Genomic DNA, 21,805 nt, shown 5'->3' with positions numbered 1-21,805 from the left:
ATACAAGAAAAACACCATATATATATATATTCCAAACCTGCCTTTTTCATTTAACATGTTTTAGAGATCTTTCCTTGTCATTAAAGAGCTTCATTTCTTAATGGCCAAAGTATTTTATTTCATAAATGAACTCTAATTTATTTAACCAAGCTTCTAATCATGTGCACTTATACATTTCTAAACACTACTGTAAATAATGTTGCAATATATAATACTTACATTACATCTGTAAGATAAATTCCTCAAAATAGAATTGCCAGGTCTTGGGGTATGTGCAGTTACAATTTAAATAGCATAATGCTGTTAGGCATGGTGGCTCACGCCTGCAATCCCAGCACTTTGGGAGGCTAAGGTGGGTAGATCACTTGGTCAGGAGTTGGAGATCAGCCTGGCCAACATGGTGAAACCCTGTCTCTACTAAAAACACAAAAATTAGCTGGGTGTGGTGGTGCATGCCTGTAATCCCAGCCACTCAGGTGGCTGAGGCAAGGGAGTTTACTTGAACCCTGGAGGTGGAGGTTGCAGTGAGCCAAGATTGTGCCACTGAACTCCAGCCTGGGCGACAAAGTGAGACTGTGTCAATAAATACATAGCATAATGCTTTATGTTAGGTTTCTATCACTTTATATTCCCACCAGTTTTACATGACAGTTTGTTTCTCCACATGCTTGCTTAGCTTTATATATATATATATATATTTGTATTTTTGCCCATCTGACATGAAAACTGGCTTGGTGTAGTTTAAACTCTTATTTCTTTATTACAATGTTGATCATCTCTTTATGTTCAAATTATTCTTATTTCCTTTAAGTTAATTATCTGTTCAAATCCATTTTCTACTTGTTTTTATTTATCTATAGTAGCTCTTTGAATATTAGAAAGAATACTCCTTTGACTGTGATATTTTGGAAATATTTTTCCATGTGTGTCATTTGTTTAAATAAGTAAAAAATGATTTGTTTAAAATTTCCATTAAGTTATTCAAAAGAAATGTAACAGTATATTTTAAAACCTGAATTTAAAAAGCATAGCCATTTTGGAAAATAGTTTGGCAGTTTCTAATAAACTTACGCATTGAAGAAAAAAGACTAAATCTCTGGTACCTTGGATTAGACAATGGTTTCCTAATATAACACCAAAAGCACAAGCAGCAAGAGAAAAAAAATCAAGTCCGGATGAACTGGATTTGATCAAAATTAAAACTTTTTTGCTTCAGGGGACCCTATCAAGAATGTTAGAAGACAATCTACAGAATGGGGGAAAATATTTTCAAATCATATATACGACAAGGGTTTAATATCCAGAATATATAAGGAACTCCTACAATTCAACAACAAAAAGGCAAATAATCTAATTTTTAAGATGGACAAAGGATTTGAATAGAAATTTATCCAAAGAAGATACACAAATAGCCAATAACCAACCACAAGATGTTCATCGTTAGTCTTTAGGGAAATGCAAATCAAAACCACAATGAGAATACTTTATACCCACTGGGAGGACTATAATAAAAAAGACAATAACAAGTGTTGTGTTGGCAATGATGTGGAGAAACTGAAACCTGCATATACTGCAAGTGGAAATAAAAATTGGTGCAGTCACTTTGGAAAAAAGTTTGCCAGTTCTTCAAAAAGTTCAACAGAGTTACCAAAAAACTTGGAAATGGCACTACTAGATGTATACCCGAAATAAATGAAAACGCATGTCCATACTAAAACTCATACATGAGTGTTCAATAGAGCATTATTTTTAACACCCAAAAAATATAGAAACAACCCAAATGTCCATCAGCTGATTAATGGTATGTGAACACAAGCCAGGCGCAGTGGCTCATGCCTGTAATCCCAGCACCTTGGGATGCTGAGGTGGGTGGATTACCTGAGGTCAGGAGTTCGAGGCCAGCCTGACCAACGTGGATTTAAAGAACACAAAAAATGAGTCCACTTATATACAGTATGATTTATTTAACATTCTAGAAAAAACAAAACTATAGAAACAGTAAACAGATCAGTGTTTCTAAGGGCCTGGGAGTGTAGAGGAAGGGGAGTGACTAAAAAAAAGGCATAGAGGACTTTTTAGGGTGATGTAAATATTCTGTGTCTTGATTGCAATAGTGGTTATATGACTCTACGTGCTTGCCAAAATTCAGGTAACTCTACAATGTAAGAAGGGCTAATTTCAGTGTACATAAATTAACTTCACTAAATCTAACCAGAAATATGCATTAAAATATCAGTAATGTCATAATCATATGCAGAAAAAGTAAAGTATGATCAATCAAATTGTTTAATTTTTCAAAATGATCCTTGAGGGTTTTTTATTCCTTGCTCATATTAAGAGTATAGCACCCTAGAGATATAAAGCTTGCCCTCTGTTGTTAATCTTGAAATTAAAAAGAAAAATATTGTATAAGTAAGCAATAAATGTGATTTTTCTTCCTATTATCTTTCACTATCTGTTTTAGTACATCTTCTCACATAAATTCCATACGGAATCTGGCTATATTACTTTATCTAAAATTCACTTCTTATAAAGAAGGCTATGAGGCCAAGGTGAGAGGATCACTTGAGTCCAGGAGTTAAGCTTTTAAAAATAATAATTATTATTTTGGCCTTTAATTTTCCTTGATAAATGTAAGCTCGATGAAAATAGGAACTTTGTTCATTATACAATCCTCAATATATGTCTGGAATAGTGCCTGACTCTAAAGAAATATTTGTGAAATGAGCAACCATATTTTTAGACCTACCATTAGCTCAATATCACTGCCAATTATATAAAGTTGATCTTCCATAGAAAGCTTCCTGTTTAAATGGGCAAGAACATACGTGATTCCAGGTAAACGCACAGCAGGACTGGTGAGAAGACTACCCCACAGGGCACTGTAGAATGCTGACTGGTCCACAGCAGCAGCAACCTTTTCCAACAACATATTTGTTCTGAGGTATAAATAAAGTGGTTTAAGAAGGGAAACATTTAGTTTCATATTTTAAAAAATAAATCATTCTTTTCCAAAAATGTATGCAAACACCCATGCTACAGTCATATGTTCCACCCTGGAAACAAGTGTGATAGACTGAAAGAAGAATATACTTTAGAGTCAGAGGACTGAATTTAAGTCCTGGCTCCACCATTTACTAGCTGTATATGTTGAGGAAGTCACTTCATTGTTAAGTTCAGTCTCCTCATCTGTAAAATGAAGAGAACAACAACAACAAAACACTCCACCACAAGACCTATCTACCTCACTAGGTTGTTAAAGTACGCTAAGTAATAAAATACCATATACATTTTAGTTTTTTAATAAGAATATTAGTAATGAGATATTAGAGATACTTAATGCCATCATGCATTGCCTACAAATATTAACTCCCCGAAAATAATAATAGGGTCCAAACAGATCAAATAACTTTGTTTGAATAGTTAGATATCAAGAGTACCACGTCAACAGCTAGTGAAACAGCACTGTACTGGTACTAAGCTATTTTCTCCCATTAGCAACTTAAAAATTGTTAGTGCATGGACTAATCTTCCATTCTTATCACTAATCTAAATGTCCTGTTATATTATTTTAAATTATGGGTCACAATTTTCTTGAGTGACTTATATGTGCTTGGCTAAGGACTAAGTGATTTGTTATTAGAATAACACAGATAAATAGGTATTATGTTTGTTTTAAAGATGAGGAAACTAAATAAAGTTCAGACACTAAGAAAACTTCCCTAAGCTCAGTGTCTGTATAGGCAAGATTTCAACTCAGTACATCCACCTCCGAAGTCTATGCTTTTATCACTAGCTATATTTTCAGTATGATACATAGACTAGATAAACTATAATAATGTTTCATTGCTATAGAAATATTCATGTGATATACTGAACTGTCTAGAATAATTCATTTGTGATGTTAAAACATATTTGACCTAAATATGCTTGCTGACAAATCCATGACTTCAATTACATAACTGCACCAAATATGATCTTACCTCTCATAGTACTCTGATCCTTCTTCTAAGCCAGGAAGAATACCAGTAAGCAATCCCTGTAGACCAGGTTTCAGTGTTTTACCCAAAGGCAGATAATATATCTCATACAAACTGAGCAATGTTGGTTTCACAGACATGGCAGCATTTGCAAGAAGAGGAAATAATCCAGAACTATTAAAAAAATAAAGACAAAGGAGAAGGAAGCAAAATAACTATACAATATTAATTCATATGCAATTATATGTATAAATATTTCTTTCTGATGAAAAAGTTATACTGATTGGCTTAAAAATGATACCTGTATATGAATGACTACATCCATTAAACCAGACCAGTTCTCTCACCTGGGTTTTATACTTATAAACCCAATAGCTACCTAGCTGTTTCACAAAGTCCTCATATTTCACAATTCCAAAAACAGAATTCTCCCCCAATGTGCCCCAGCAAAACATGTGCCTTCCCTGTAATAACTGTCAATTTCAAAATATGGCATCACTATCTATCTGGCTGACCAAAAGCTATAAATCTAGGACTGATCCTTGACTCATGCAATCTTCCTGCCTCAGCCTCATGAGTAGCTTTAAAAATCTTCTACTCTAACATGGCTGGGTAAGTTGGCTCATGCCTGTAATCCAAGCACTTTGGAAGGCGGAGGTGGGAGGACTGCTTAGGCCCAGGAGTTTAAGACCAGCCCAGGAAATATAGTGAGACCCCATCTCTACAAAAAATAAAAATTAGCTGGGCACAGTGGCATGTGCCTGTGGTCCCAGCTACTTGGGAGGCTGAGAGTAGAGGACTGCTTGAACCTGGGAGGTAGAGGCTGCAATGAGCTGTGATCATGACACTGTACTCCAGCCAGGGTGACAGAGTGACAGCCTGGATCCAAAAATAAAATAATTTTCTACTCTAACCTGCAATCAGTTATCAAGGTCATCAAGTTCTCTCTCCAAGTCACTCTCCTAGATATTTTTTGAATATAACAAATTGTATCTCCACCAGATAGCTACCTAGAAGCAGCTGCTATCATATCTTGCTCTTCATGTTTTAACATGTATTGGTTCATTATTGCCCTGAAGCAGCTCTCAGTAAAACCTTTCACTGATTTCCCATTGCCAATGTGGACTTTAACATCTTTTAAGAAATGGCTACTACATATCTCTGTACAATCCACTGATACTCACCAATTTTACTCCTGTACCCTCTGCTCCAGCTATACTGAAGAATTCCTTTCTAGTTCCTTTCGGAACTTTCTATGCTCTTTTTAGTGCCCATACCTTTCCATATGCTGCTCTGACAGATACAATTCCCACTCCCTTACTTATACCCTCCTTGTCTGGGGGATTCCCAAACTTTCAGGCCTCAGCCTAAGAAGCCATTTCCTTAGGGAGATTATCTCCTAATTAGACTAGGTTAGGCCCCCTATTTGATGTTCTCATAGTACCCAATATTCACTTACTAAAACACTTATCATTCTTTATTTGAATTGCTTAATGTCTATCTCTTCCAACGGACTGTAAATATCAGAAAACAAAGGACCATGACTATATTTTTATTTCTGTATCCTAAGTTTCAAGCACCATGTCCTGTACTTAGCAAGTGATGAACAAATGAATTAGGAATCTCTCTTGCTCCTAGTTTATAAAAAACAGAAATCATCAAGAAAGAATGGCTTCAGTTTTCTACTTTTCTGTCTCCCATTTTAGGTACTGTTTGATCTAAAGATACAGTCACAGTCTCTCAGTCTCTTCCAGGCTACCTTTTTTCCCATGTGCCCCAGGGCCATGACCCGCCTGTCCAGGGACCTGCTTCATCCATTATCTTTTTTCTTTTCTGTAATTTTTCTTTCCGAACTGACATCTTTGCTTTTTAATACAAATGTACTCACATATTTCCTCATAATTCTAAAACGAGAAAAAAAAACAGCAACAACCAAACCCCAAAATCTTTATTCTAACTAACCTTCTGGCTTAAAGCTACCAAACTCTATCAACTGTTAAAATATATATATATTTTTATGAATTTCTTCTGTTTATCTTCCATCATTAATCAATCACGATACTTCTACCTCCTCCACTGAAACTGTTCTCATTTTGGTCACCAATGTCCACCAATTGCCAGATCCAATGCTCTATCTTCAGACCTTATCCTATTTTATTTAACATGTGATACTATTAACCAGAGCATTCTCTTGAAGCGCTCTTCCCTTTTGACTTTCAGGACTGCTTTGTCTCCTGGTACATTTTCCTTTCTTTTCTCTCTCTCTTTTTTTTTTTTAGATGGACTCTCACTCTGTTGCCCATGCTGAAGTGTAGTGGTGCAACCAGCTCACTGCAACCTCCACCTCCCAGGTTCAAGTGATTCTCATACCTCAGCCTCCCCAGTAGCTAGTATTACAGGCACTCACCACCACACCAGGCTAATTTTTGTATTTTTAGTTAAGATGAGGTTTCACCATGTTGGGCAGTCTGGTCTTGAACTCCTGACCTCAGGTAATCCACCCACCTCGGCCTCCCAAAGTGCTGGGATTACAGGCGTGAGCCACTGAGCCCGGCCTCCTGGTACATTTTCTATTTCTGACTCTTTTTCATTGGCTACTTTCCCCCACCTGATATTAAATACTGAGACTCCTAAATACTCTTAAAATGATCTCATTCCTTTTTTCCTCCTTGTTATTTACAATGTACCTAGGTAATTTCAATTATTCTCTTGGCTTCAACTGCCAACTAAATGCTGACTGCTCTATAGTATCTGTCTAGTCTGCAATCTAGATTTATATTACCAAAAGCTCACTTTACATACTCATCTAAATATTTTAAGGCATTCAAAACTCCACTTCTAGCCTTCTTAACATCTTTGTGCACTGCATCACATTAAAAAGAAATAAGCTTGAAGAGGCAATATGGTATTCTATCATGTAATAGGTTATAGAACTTTAAAAGTATTTGTATTTAATTATGTTAAACCATAAACCTTGAGATGAAAAAATCATTAATTAAAAATAAACATATCTACATTTAATATAAACTTTAGTTTTTAAAATAGTTATACTTCAAAAAAGTATAGAACAATGGTATCATTTACTCCATAACGTGTGTGTATGTGTACAAGAATATCTGCCATATTTAGAAATGGTATTCTAGATTTAATTTTACGTAACATACTAATGATAAAAATAGGTATACTACAACTGAAGAATAACTGTGTTGCTTAAACTTTCTGTTAAGAGTTAGAAAGTAGCAGGCATGAATTATGTAAATCTTGCCTTGAGAAAGGAAAATCTACCAATTATTAGATAATTACATGCAACACTGATTCAGCAATGCTCAGTTTTCTTAATATCATTCTTTGAATGTATTATTTATTACTATCAAAAATACCTTTACTGGCCTTACATACTATCTTTAAGACATCCATGCTCAACTGGGCGCAGTGGCTCACGCCTGTAACCTCAGCACTTTGGGAGGCCGAGGCAGGCGGATCACGAAGTCAGGAGTTCGAGACCAGCCTGGCCAACATAGTGAAACCCTGTCTCTACTAAAAATACAAAAATTAGCTGGGTATGGTAGCATGTGCCTGTAATCCTAGCTACTTGGGAGGCTGAGAAAGGAGAATTGCTTGAACCTGGGAGGCGGAGGTTGCAGTGGGCCAAGATTGTGCCACTGCACTCCACCTTGGGTGACAGAGCGAGACTGTCTCAAAAAAAAAAAAAAAAAAAAAAAAAAAAGAAAGACATCCATGTTCATTTCTCTTTAATAATATTTCCTTGCTCACTTCTCTTTAATAATATTTTAAAATATCAAAGAATTGAGTATAACAAATAGCGTTTCTTTATTCATTAAACAAATATTTATTAAGGGTATACTATCTGTCAGTTCTTCAGGATACTGAGAATAGAACACTTAATCACAGTAAGAAATTCCTGCTCTTTAACCTCATAAAGCTTATTTTTTGGAGAGTATATATGTATATATTTTAATTGTTTGGTTATTATATGTCTTAACACATACATACATACATATCAGATGGTGATAAATGTTACAGCAGAGAAGAAAAAGTTACAGGAGAATAACAAGGAGAGTGGAGCATAGACAGGTTCTAAATAGGGTGGTCAGAGAGAGCTTATCTGAGCAAAAATGAGAGAGTAAACACATACACAGTAGAAAGGATCAGTAAATAAAAGTTGGTTTTTAAAAAGACTAACAAAATTGATAAACTCCTGATAAGACTGATCAATTAAAAAAAAAGGATGGCTTGAGTCACCAATATCAAGAGTGAAAGAGGAGACATCACTATAGATCCTACATGCTACAAAGATAACAGTATATTAAGAACTTTAGGCTGATGCATCTAAAAATTTAGTAAAAGTAGGCAAATTTTGAGAGAAAAAACTTATTAAAACTGACATAAATAAATTTGAATAGTCCCATAACTACTAAAGAAATTAATCTGTAATTACAAATCTTCCCACAAAGATAAATTTCAGATAAAACCTTCTAAATAATTATACCAATGTTATGAGAACTGTTCCAGAGAACAGAATACGAGAACAATTTGAAAGTTAACATATACTAGAAAACAAAATTAGATAAAAATGTAAAATCATAGCCATTCTCTACTAAACAAAGATGGAAAAAAAGGATTCTAAATCATGAGCCAACTGGATATATTCCAGAAATGAAGGGTTGATTGAACCTTCAAAAATATTTAACATTTTCTACCTGGAGTGAGAAATAAGACAAAGATATACTTGCCCCTACTCTCTTTAACACTTTACTATAGACCCTAGTCAATACAATAAGGCAAAAAAAGATATGAAATTATTAAAATCGGAAAAGAAAACTCACCATTCACAGATAGTGTGACTATATCTCAAAATTCCAAAAGCTATTAGAAAGAACAAGTGAACTTGACAAAGTGTCTGAATACAATGTCAATACAGAAAAACACCTTCATATTTCTACATTCTAGCAGCAATATACCAAGCAAAGATTTCTTAAATAAGAAGCAAAAAGGACTACTTAATAAAAGGTTGATAAATCAGACTTCATTAAACTAAAAAAAACTTTCTTCAAAAGACAGCATAAAGAACTTTTGGTTCTTCAAAGATACCATTTAGAAAGTTTTAAAAGTTAAGCTGCAGAATAAGGGTAATACATATAGTTGGATAGTAGGGGTTTTCACTAGAAGGGGGTAGGAGGGAACTTGCTGGGTTGACAAGAATGTTTTATATCTTATTTTGAACAGTGGCTACGAAATTGACTAAATTTGTCAAAACTCATCACATTGAACATTTACAATCTGTTCATTTTATTGAATGTAAATTATATCAACAGTTTAAAAGAAAAGTTAAGTCGTTAAGAAAAGGAGAGACAGAATTAGTGACCTGGAAACTAGGTCAGAAGAAATTCCTGAGAATGAAGCACATAAGGACAAAAAGTTAGAAAATATGAAAAATGGTTAAGAGATGGAGAAGCCATAGTGGGAAGACCTAATAAGTGGGGAGAGAACAGATGTGGTGAAGGCAATCTCAAAAGATAGTGGTTGAAAATTTTCCAAAATTGGTGAAAGGCATCAATTCATAGATTAAAAAATTTTTTTAATGGTTTTTTTGGGGAATAGGTGGTGTTTGGTTACATGAATAAGTTCTTTAGTGGAGATTTCTGAGATTTTGGTGCACCCATCACCCAAGCAGTGTACACTGTACCCAAAGTGTAGTCTATTACCACTCACCCTGTTATACCCTTTCTCCTGGGTCCCCAAAGTCCACTGTATCATTCTATGCTTTTGCATCCTCATAGCTTAGCTCTCGCTTACAAGTGAGAACATACGATGTTTGTTTTTCCATTCCTGAGTTACTTCATTTAGAATAATGGTCTCCAATTCCATTCAGGTTACTGTGAATGCCATTATTTCATTCCTTTTTATCCAATTCACAGATTTTTTAAAGTCCAACAAATACCAACAGGATAAATAATAATAATAATAAAAACCTACCTAAAAACACATCACAATAGAATAGAATACTAGGGATAAAAATGTGGAAGAAGGGCCATTTCAGATGATAATTAAGCAAGTCTTCTGAGGAGCTGATATCTGATCAGAGACCTGGATTTGAGAGTTACAGGGCAAGAGAATAGCAAAGAAAATGAGTAATAATAAGCAAAGAGACCTGTGGACCTGAGTGGAATAAACTGGGGGGAAAAGAATAATAGTTTAGTTTTAGTTTATTAAGAGTTGAGGTCACTGACAAAGCCAGGGTCAGAGTACTTCAGGAAGTAAAGTCTTCAAAGCCATGTTAAAGCCTTTTTCTTAATTTTTCTGAAGTGTGCTGAGAAGCAGTCAATAGACTTTTTAGCAAGACGGTAACATTATTTAATATATTAAAAAGATTACACTGGTACTATGTGGAGAACAGGGTAGAAGAGGATAAGAACAGATGGTGGATCAATGTTAGGCCAGTGACGAAGCCTGAGCTAGAGATGATGCTTACTTAGACTGCATGCTGCCAGTGAAGGTTCAGGGAAGTAGATGTATTTGAGACATATATCAGAATAGTAGCTAACATGTATTAAGAACTTACTGTAAGTTGCCCATTGCATTTTACATGTATGAACTCTTTCAATTCTATTAACCACCCTATGAGGTTGATAATCTTATTTCTGTTGTGCAAGTGAGGACACAAACACAAACAGGTGAGGACAATGGCCCCAGATCACAGAGCTAGTTTGACCCTGCCATCTCTTCTCTTAACCACCATGAGACATAACTCTGAACAACAGACTGTGTACACCGGAGGTGGGAAAATGTGGGTGGGGAAAACAAGGTAACAAGTGTAACTCTCAGATTTGAGGGTTATATAAATGGATAGATGGTGATACCATTTATTGAGCTTTAATACAGTACATTGCAGGAAGGTCAGGTCAATAGGAGAAGAGGAAAGTTTAGTTTTAAACAGGTTGAACTTTAGTTGCCTTTAAAGATCTATATGGCGATGTCAAGCAAGCAGGAGTTTAAAGCTGCTGCCAGCACTGGAAATGTCCAGCTGGGAGTCAGCATATAGAAGATAAAACAGTTGTTACCAAGGGCAGGAGAAAATGGGAAATGTCAGATGAACAAATCTAGAGATCTAATGTACAACATGAAGACTATAATTAATAATATTTTATTTGGGATTTTTACTAAATAGATTTTAACTGCTCCTGCCACATACACAAAAAATAGGTAACTATGTAAGATGATGGCTATGTTAATTTGTTTATCTACAGTAATTGTTTTATTATCTGTTGGTATCTCACATCATGTTGTGTATCTTAAATGTACACAATAAAATTTAAAATAAAAAATAAATCATGGGTATGGCTAAGTTTGTCTAAGGAGAGATTACAAAGTGAAAATATAAGAAGGTGCTGCACTAAATGAGCCCTAAGAAACTCTGTGTGGAGTTTGGGTAGAGGAGGAAAGACTTGTAAAGGAGACTGAGAAAGAGTAACTGAACAGGAAAATGTGGTACAATGAAAGCCAAAGGAAAAGACTGTTTTAAGTGGAGAAGAGTCAACCATGTTGAAAGTTGCTGAGAGATCAAGGTATCCTATTTTTTTCTCAGGCCAGTTTTCAAGCTTAAAAAGGTAGAATGTACTATAGTCTCAACAACTTTGAATGAAAACTTTTAATAAATGATATCTAAGAATAAAAAACAAAAAGACATTAAAGACTGTTCTACATTTTTCTGAATCACTTAACTCAAATATTTAAGATTGATATCTGAGGCCAGGCGCGGTGGCTTATGCCTGTAATCCCAGCACTTTGGGAGGCAGAGGCAGGCGGATCATGAGGTCAGGAGATCGAGACCATCCTGGCTAACACGGTGAAACCCCGTCTCTACTAAAAATACAAAAAAATTAGTCGGGCGTGGTGGCGGGCGCCTGTAGTCCCAGCTGCTGGGGAGGCTGAGGCAGGAGAATGGCGTGAACCCGGGAGGCAGAGCTTGCAGTGAGCCAAGATTGGGCCACTGCACTCCAGCCTGGGTGACAGAGCAAGACTCCGTCTCAAACAAAACAAAACAAAGATTGATATCTGAAAACTTCTAATCACTAAGGAGTTTTCAATTTTTAGTTTTTAGTGCAGAAAGTATAAAATAGTTTAGCAATACATTTTCTTTATATTATTTGTATATATATAGTAAAATTATTCTTACCTATATAAAAAAAGATCTTTGGCAAGTCGCTTAGGTCCAATTATTTTGAAGATAATTTCATATGTTTCAAGCGCCTTCCGATGAACTCCACCTGGTAATGCTGGATGTAGACATTGAGCTAGGCGTTTGCCTATGGTCAGCTTTTTGGGTACTACTTGGTACTTTGCATTATTTTGTAAAACCTTGAAGAAAGCATTTTAATGTAGTTGAGAAAAACAAAATATTGCATTCATTTTACTTCCATTTTCTAGCATAGTATTATAAAAAATGATCATTGTAGGTCTTTGTGTTTTGTTAGCTACATTTGCCTATATATACCATATTTAAAATTAAAACTGAGGAAATGTTACAAACTTTATTAATTTGTTTAAAAAATAAACTCGTTACCTGTTAACAGAATAACATTTTTAATGAAAAATGATATTTTCCAAAACAAATTTATGGAGAAGAGAGGTATTTTAGATTTTTTTTGGTAAATTTTTAATATTTGATGTGAGAAGACAGCTGGAATGTTACATGAACATGTAACATGGAAAGTTACAGCCTTCAATCCATTTTTGCTACTTTGAAATAAAGTCTGGCCTCAAAGTAGATATTTACAGTACTTGGAAGAGGTACAACCATTGTCCTAGTATATCAAATTACAGCAAGTAATTCTAATGCTTATAAGAAAATCTACATGAGATTATCATTGCCCATTTGTTTTTATAAACTGATTTTTCTAACTGGACAAAACAACTTTTTGTTTTATTTATTCAACCATAACATTTCCTTAGAAATAATGGTCAGGGCAGAATTTCTGTACAGAGACCCTATCTTACCAACCACTCAAAGGAGATTAGTTAAGTAAAGAAGATCTTATAATAAATGTAATCCTTTAGTTTGAACCTAGAAGTCAGTATTATAATCAAGTATTGATAGAATGTCACAAAGTGAAGACTCAGAATGAATACAGACTATGTTAGAACTGGAATTTAGAAGAAATATGCAAAGTCTTATTTTACAGAATAAACTGAGGTTGAAATAATAGGTTAGTGCAAAAGTAATTGTGTTTTTTTGCCATAATATATGAAATGACCATCAAAGGCGGTATGAGTATATATATGTAATAGAGCATATATATATGTGTATGTGTATATATATGTATACGTGTGTATATATATATATATATGTATATACACACACACACACACACACACACACACATATGCAATCCTTGCCTTGTTCTATCACAATTTTGGCTAAGCTTCATAAACAACTTGGGTATTCTTCTTTGAGTTATCTAGATACCATGAAATCTACTTTTGTGAATATTGGTTAATCTAAAAAACTAATTATGTACCTAATTAGGCAAATTAATTTCCATCATTTAATGACTTGCCTTTAAAAAGAGTTCCCAGTATATCTTCAGAAACAGACTCTTCAAAACTCTTTAGGAAAAAAAAGAACCTAACTACCTTTAAGCAAACTTGTACTTTTAGATGGAATTTCTTGTGGATGTTGTAAAGGAATAAAGAATTATTCAAACTTCAAAAGATAAATGTTAGAAGTTCTAACATCAAAGAGAAGCTTCTGAATCAAATTTTAAGACAAATCCTTGACATACTGAAAATGGTAACTTTTCTTTTTATGGTATCAAAGTGATTATCTGTCGTATCAGGTTGAAAACTAGTGTCCTGGTGTGGTATTGTGAGTGAGAGTGTGTCTGTAGGTTTTCATCCATGGTTCCTGGCTCATAACTCCCACAGCCCTTATTATAATATGGGGAACTTTGGGCCTCAGAAGCAGGCCTCAGAAAACAATTTCTCTCTGACTTTTCCTGCCCTCTTCTCATCTCCTTTTTCTCCCTAAGGCAGGAATCTTCCCCTGTCTCGGAGCTGGCCGTAACAAAATTCTCTGGACTACTTGGTCTCATTGTAGGTCAAAGACCCCTATTTCAGAAGGGGTCCTGCCCCATACCCAGAAGGAAGGAATGCTGTAGAGAGGCCAAGAAAAATCTGACAGACGGGCCTTGCTGGGTTCCCCCACTTAGTCTGTTAGTATTACATCATATCTTTTCTTTCCTATCACATTTCTACACAGCTGTCCATGCTTCAATCATGCCTATCCAATGAAGTCTCAAAAGGCCCAAAAGGATGATTAGAGAGTGTCCAGGCCAGCTGAACACATGCGGAGGTTCCTGGAGGGTGGCACTCCTGAGGAGGGCATGAAAGTTCTACGTCCCTTCACCCATACCTCACACTATGCATCTCTTCACTTGTATCCTTTGTAATGTCCTTTATAATGAACCAGTACCCTAAGCTCTGTGAGCCGCTCTAGCAAATTAAAGCTAAAGAAAGGATTGTGGAACTTTATAGCCAGTTGATCAGAAGCACAGGTAAAACAAACTAGGGCTTGTGATTGGCATCAAAACAGGAGGACAGTCTTATGAGGCTCAGCCCTCAACCTGTGGGATCTGATACTATCTCCAGGTAGATAGTGTCCAAATTGAACTGCAGCACATCCAGCTGGTATCTACTGTAGAACTGCTTGCTTGCTGGTAAGGGAGAAATAACCACTTGTTTTAGGGTTATAGAAATCTTCTGCATTGATTGTCGTGGTGAGAGCAGAGGAAAAACTATCTGTGTTTTCTTCCCCCACACATCTTAGTATGTATTTTAAGACAAACTTCTTTCCTAATTTGTATGTTAAGCTATTTGATAGGCTGGGTATAGTGGCTAATGCCTGTAATCCCAGCACTTTGGGAGGCTGAGGTGGGAGGATCATTTGAGGCCAAGAGTTCAAGACCACCCTGGTCAACATAGCGAGATCCTATCTCTAAAAAAATAACTAGCCAGACATGGTGGCATGCCTGCAGTCCCACCTACTCAGAAGGCTGAGGTGGGAGGATCCCTTGAGCCCAGGAGTCTGCAATGAGCTATAATCATGCCACTGGACTCCAGCCTGGGTGAAAGAGTAAGACCTTGTCTCATATAAAATAAAATAAATGAAAATAAAATAAAATAAAATAAAATAAAATAATAAAATAAAATAAAATAAAATAGAATAAGTTATTGGAAGGCCACTCCTTTCCTATGTAACCTCTTTAATATTTAGAAACACTCCCATTCAATAACAATTTAAAAAAAACCTTAACTATGGGTATGCAGTAAAAAAAATTGATGTTTAAAAAATAAAAAGGTCAAAATGAAGCGCCAGAGGTTGATCAATGATGCCACAACAATAACTGAATAAAAACCAGACATGTCTCAAGAAGAATTACTCAAGGACAAGCTGCAAGGCGTAAGCAACTGCTTGTATATACTCGCCTTTGTAAAAAGTACCAAATTATAACTATAGCTTGCCAGGATAGAAAATGTTTCCTTGTTGCTATATATCATTTGGAAAGAACACAGGAATTACTGCTTTCCATTTGTAGGTTTTCATTTTGCTGCCAGGAATTCCAGCACCATATCTGATGCTCCATTACAGAAATTTACTAGCCCTCATAGTTAGCATATTTGCTTCCTTCTCTTCTGTTTTTATAGCTGATAATCATGGCGATAACTATATTTTTCAAGCATTGTTATTTCTTTGAATTAAAACTTCCAAAGCCTTAATATGCTTGACTACACAGGCATGCAACTCATGAAGAAAAATAGCACTACCAAGAGTAATCTAAGGTTCATTTATGTTTTTGCATTCTTACTTCAAGATTTCGAGAAATCTAACAAGTACAAACACAGATTTCTAATTTTTACTCCTTTTATGAAATGGATAATACAGACATACCTTATTAAGTTTTCCAAGTGCTGATATCAAATCTGCCCATTCACTGGAGTATTCAAAATTCTTTAGTGCTTTGTCAATTGCTGCTACATAGTTTCTGTATTTGGAGTCACTCAATAACTCCAGCTCTTCTGTGTTCATCCTCCCACAACTTCCCACTAGAGACCAGTTCCAAACTCATGTAAAGTCATTACCTACAAAAGAGTTTGCAGGAGGAACCAAGGTTACAAAGTATTAAAACGGGTTCATATGATCTTACTACAAAGGTAATGACTAACTTGAAAATGTTCCTTACTGTTAGCAGTGGTTGAAACTCTCCTCAGCTAGTGTTCAGGGTCATGGAAGTATTCAAAGACAGCCTGAAAGATAACTACTTGTGTGTTCCTTCCTAGGAATTGGAAAAATGACTGTGAAAATTTAGTAAGTAAAAGCATAGAAAATTTTCTTATACTTATTTCAATTTAGAATCATGTTATTTCTCTGTCATATTTGTTTATGTAACATTTCTGATATATATATGCTCCTCTACTTTGTTTTGATCCTAAAATACATTAAGTCTGGTTAGATTGGAAGAATCAAGAACACAGGGGAAGAAAGAAAAACAAATAAATGATTCGGAGATCATTTTATTAAGTAATAAGTGGGCATCTAGTATGAAGGCCCATTAGCTGTTTGGAATTAGACTTTACTTTGAATAAAACTGACAAGAACATGTGGTGGTTTAAAGTATGCCCACAGCTGAGTACAGTGGCTCACACCTGTAATCCCAGCTACTTGGGAGGCTTGAGGATGGAGTATGGCCTAAGATCAAGGTTTCAAGACCAGCATTGGCAACACAGTGAGATCCTGTCTCTAAAAAAAATAAAAATTAGCCAGGCATGGTGGCACCTGTAGTCCCAGCTACTCAAGAGGCTGAAGTGAGAGGATAGCTTGAGTCCAAGAGTTCAAGGCTGCAATGAAATATGACTGGGTGATAGAGCAAGACTCTGCCTCTATTAAAGCAAAAAAACAAATCCACAAATTCTTTGTTATTTCTTTGAAAAAGTGGTTCCCAATCCCCCAGCACCTTAGGGTCAACTTTGTGACTCATTTCTCATGAAAAGAATAGGGTAGAAGAGACAATGTGTAACGGCCAACAGGTCATAAATGCACTTTGGTTTCCTCTTTACTCTCTTATCATTAGTTCTGGGGGGAGCTAGCTGCCACATCATGAAGACACTTTCAAGGAGCCCTATGGAGAAGGCAGGTCTCGTGACAAGGAGCTGAAGCTTTCTATACAGCCATGTGAGTAAGCCACCTTAGAAGCAGATCCTCCATCCTCAGCCAAGCCTTAATTTGACTGTGGCCCCAACTGGCATCCTGACTATAACTTCATGAGTTACCCGAAGCCAGGAATACATGAGCTAAGTCTCTCAAATTCGAGACCTACAGAAGATTTTGTTATAGGCCACTGAGTTCAGGGGTCATTTGTTACACAGCAATACGTAATCTAGGGTAATAGGAATAATTGAATTAAGGTTCTACTTAAAAACCAATGTGGCTCCCCTTTAATTTTTCTGGTATCCTAACTGACTTCTAACTAACTTGGTACCTTTCTCTAGAGCTGGATGCACGGACCTACAGGAAGGTCTAAGAGTGGGCCTTAGGGGATGCTAACACAATTCAACCAAGGTAAGAATAGTCTTTCCAACAAGTAGTTTGGGATAACTGAATATCCCATGTGCAAAAGAACAAAGTTGACTCCTTCACATCTACACAAAAGTTACTTTAAAATAGATCAGAGATCTAAATGTAACAGTTAGAACTATAAAACCCTCAGAAAAAAATATAGGATTAAATCTTTGTGACCTGTGGCTAGGCAAAGTCTTCTTAGAAATAAAACTGAAAGCCAGGCACGGTGGCTCACGCCTGTAATCCTAGCACTTTAGGAGGCCGAGGTAGGCGGATCGCTTGAGGTCAGGAGTTCAAGACCAGGCTGACCAACATGGTGAAACCTCGTCTCTACTAAAAATACAAAAATCAGCCAGGTGTGGTGGCTCATGCCTGTAATCTCAGTTACTCGGGAGGCTGAGGCAGGACTATCACTTGAACCCGGCAGTCCGAGGCTGCAGTGAGCCAAGATCACGCCGCTGCACCCCAGCCTGGGCAACAGAGTGAGATTCCATCTCAAAAAAATAAACAAAATAAAATAAAATTAAAAACCAAAAACACAAGCAACAAAAGAAAAAATAAATTGGACTTCATCAGAAGTAAAACTTTCGTGTTGCAAAGGATAACATTAAGAAAGTGAAAAGACAACTGACAGAATAGGAGAAAATATATCCTCCATATATCTGATGAGACTTAAACTAGATAATAAAAAACTCTTCCAAGCCAATAATAAAAAGACAAATAATTCCAAAGTGGGCAACAGATGTGAATGGACATTTCTAAAAGGAAAATGTACAAATGGTCAATAAGTACGTAAAATGACACTCCACATAATTAATCATCAGGGAAACAAATCAAAACCACAATATTTCATGACTACTAGGATGGTTACAATAAAAAAGATAGACAATAAGCGTGTTATGTAGAAACTGGAACCCTCATACACTGCTGGAGGAACATAAATTGGCGTAGCTCCTCTGGAAAACAGTCTGGTAGTAGTTCTCCAAGGTTCAACATAGAATTACTATAAGCCATAAATTCCACTCCTACGTATGGTGTAGACACAAGAGAAATGAAAATATATGTACACTCAAAAACTTGTGTGAATGCTCATAGATGCATTATTCATAATAGCCAAAAGAAGAAATAACCCAAATATTCATCAACTGACACACAAATAACTAAAATACCATGGAATATTATTTGGTCATAAAAAAGAATGAAATAGTGATACAAACTATAACACGCATGAACCTTGAAAACATTGTAAGTGAAAGAAGCCATTGACATAAGACCACATAGTATATGATTCCATTTATATGAAATGACAGGAATAGAAAAATCTATAGAGACAAAGTAAATTAGTGGTTGATTAGAGTGGGGGGAGAAGAGGAAAAGAGGAATTGGTGGGAAATGGACAATGAACTCAAAATGAATATAGGGTTTCTTTTTGGGGTGACAAAAATGTTTTAAAATTGATTGTAGAGATGGTTTCACAATTCTGAATATACTGAATATCATATTTTATATATATATTTTTTGTTTGTTTGTTTTTGAGACGGAGTCTCACTCTGTCACCCAGGTTGGAGTGCTGGAGTGCAGTGGCGCCATCTCGGCTCACTGCAATCTCCGCCTCCTGGGCTCAAGCGATTCTCCTGCTTCAGCCTCCCGAGCAGCTGGGATTACAGGCACCTGGCACCATGCCTGGCTAATTTTTGTATTTTTAGTAGAGATGGGGTTTCACCACGCTGGCCAGGCTGGTCTCGAACTCCTGACCTCGTCATCTGCCTGCGCTGGCCTCCCAAAGTGCTGGCATTACAGGCGTGAGCCACTGTGCCCAGCCCATATTACATACTTTAAATAGGTGAACTGCATACTCAAAATATATGAATCACCTTAAATTACATGTGAAATTTACATGTCTTACATTTTATTGGGGAGAGTCTACTTCTTTCATAATATTCTCAAACAATAGTTTTTTAACAAAAAGGTTAAAAACCACTAGAGAATATAGCCAATGAGTAAAATCTGTTTGTACTGAAAAAAGCTACAAATCCATTGATTTATAAAATCAAAATTTCCTTGGTTAAGGTTGTGCCAAAGAGAGGCTATACGAGTTTCCCAATTCTCTACTTCAATTATTTTATCCACAAAAATGAAAACAAGTCCCAAAGCCTATCTTTGGAGAGAGTAGTCACCTTAAATGTGATTTCATTTGACATGAAATGATTTTGCTTCAGCATACCATGTGCCAAGCACTATGTTTGGGTGCTGACTAGAGAGAACATCCCTGACCTCATGATACTTTCATTCCCAATTGGGACAGTGAGAGTAGAGAACAAAATAAGATAGTTTATTTTTCTCTTTAAAACTTGATATTTGATGCTAAGGGACTTAAAATAATATAAAGTTTATGTGGGGAGGAAAACACAGTCATACAGTACTTCTTCCCCACCCCATCCACATTTTCACTGTCTGTGGGGTTTCAGTTAACCTCAACCAACCACAGTCTGGAAATATTACATGAAAAATTCCAGAAATAAACAATTCGTAAGTTTTAAATTGCATAACATTCTGAGTAACATGACAAAATCTCTCGCAGAACAAAGTGAACCCTCCCTTTGTGCAGTGTATCCATGCTATAGATGATAACTGCTCATTAATCACTTAGTAGCTGTGTGGGTTATAGACTGACTGTTGTGGTAGCACAGTGCTTGTGCCCTTATTTTACTTAATAATAGCTGTAAAGTGCAAGAAAGAGTACTATGCCTAATTTGTAAATTAAACTTTATCACTGGTATATATGTATAGAAAAAAAAACAGAATTTAGAGTTTGGTACTATCTGCAGTTTCAGGCATCCATTAGGGGGGTCTTAAAACATATCCCTGGTGAATATGGTGGGGGGGGGGGGAGGGACACTACTGTCCCTTCATGCTTTGGACTCAGAGCAGCAAATCAAACATAAAGCAGTATTTTGAAGTACTCTGAAGAACTCACAATAAATATGAACTTAAATATGTGAATCAAAATAATCTTAACCTTGCACATCAAATTAATTTTTGTTTTATATAAGGATTTGCTATGCAATTTTCCTACCAGGAAAGTTCTTTGAGAGCAGGAACTATGTTTTATACATGTCTCTATGCTGGACAACACATAACTTACAATAGTGAGGCTACAGTTGGACTCATGATCAAAGTGTTTAAACATAATAAAGACTGGTAATAAATTAAAAATGATACAAGCTATTTCATTATCAATCCATGGTTTCTAAAACTTTTAAATACTAGATTTAACCATAAACACACACACACAGCATACACACAAAGCAATACCTGTATGTATGTCAGATACAAAAGACTAGCACACTAAAACAAGTAAGGCCATAAACTCTGATAGCTAATAAAACAGTTAAATACCAACAGTGACATATATGGAATGAAGGTTAGAGTGAACACAACCTAAAACATTTCTAGTTCTGTTTCTCAGAAATCAGAAGGATAGCAAAACCAAATTAAACTCAGGGAAAATATCAACTTGACTGGATTTTCTGAAAGCACATAAAATTCGTATAAAATAACTAAAATCCAATCAATGAATTTAAGAATGTGGTAGACAGAGTAAAACACACGCATAAATTTTATCAGCAGGAACATTTTTTTTCCTTCCTTAGCAAGATTTCCAGAATAAGATATAAAATAGCATTCATTTTGAAGACATATAATATTCAGTGCATGAGGAAGATTAACCTGCCAAGCAATTTAGTAGTAATTTCTATTAATGAAAATAGGGGTCATTTATCAGCCTAATAATTTTTAAGCAATATTATCTCAACATACACATCCTTCAGATAATCTTATTTGCTATAAAAAAGTCAATTAATAATGACCAGCTATGTCTGTAAGGCTTATAACTCTTGTATGCATCTACAGCTAAAAAGTTTGGTCAGGTAATTAATTTGAACTTTCTTACTTTTTTTTAGGCAATAAATTCCTAAATATTTAAATATGATTAAAAAGACTTCATATAGCTTGTTTGTTTGATATATGTTTATATCAAACATATAAAACAAAATATTAAAAGCAAAATCTTAAATTGCTGAAAAATGAGAAGAGACATTTTGCAGAAGTTTCATCAGCAGAGCTGCAGTATTACTTTTCATGTGAAAAGATGGTTGATATGGTTTGGCTGTGTCCCCACCCAAATCTC

At 35.7% G+C, this 21,805-nt stretch overlaps 1 protein-coding gene across 50 annotated transcripts in view, besides 1 other annotated feature; it reads right to left on the bottom strand.

The window, feature by feature from the left end:
• The window catches only part of DOP1A (DOP1 leucine zipper like protein A), a 103,680-nt gene that overhangs the window by 58,287 nt on the left and 23,588 nt on the right, over positions 1 to 21,805 (bottom strand). For 30 of the 50 annotated variants that reach the window (NR_169791.1, NR_169790.1, XM_017010559.2 and 27 more), the window contains exons 2-6: positions 16,241 to 16,333; positions 15,949 to 16,139; positions 12,178 to 12,359; positions 3,984 to 4,154; positions 2,750 to 2,939 (exon numbers count right to left, since the gene is read on the bottom strand). Coding sequence is in view for 46 of the 50 variants with exons in the window: in XM_017010559.2 (XP_016866048.1) it covers positions 2,750 to 2,939; positions 3,984 to 4,154; positions 12,178 to 12,359; positions 15,949 to 16,086 (681 nt within the window). In the remaining 4 variants the exon portion in view is untranslated. The remainder of the gene's footprint in view (positions 1 to 2,749; positions 2,940 to 3,983; positions 4,155 to 12,177; positions 12,360 to 15,948; positions 16,140 to 16,240; positions 16,334 to 21,805) is intronic. The other 20 variants (XM_017010560.3, XM_047418430.1, XM_047418435.1 and 17 more) reach the window with 4 other exon arrangements.
• Positions 1,212 to 1,736: an enhancer, noted in NCBI's record as "NANOG hESC enhancer chr6:83821047-83821571 (GRCh37/hg19 assembly coordinates)". NCBI's record gives its function as "activates a minimal SCP1, AML or CMV promoter by ChIP-STARR-seq in primed H9 embryonic stem cells {active_cell/tissue: H9 hESC(primed)}" and the evidence as "EXISTENCE:reporter gene assay evidence [ECO:0000049][PMID:30033119]".

Source organism: Homo sapiens, chromosome 6 (assembly GCF_000001405.40).
Source record: "Homo sapiens chromosome 6, GRCh38.p14 Primary Assembly".
In the NCBI taxonomy this organism is placed as follows: domain Eukaryota; kingdom Metazoa; phylum Chordata; class Mammalia; order Primates; family Hominidae; genus Homo; species Homo sapiens.
This window is presented reverse-complemented; position numbering and strand designations above follow the sequence as displayed.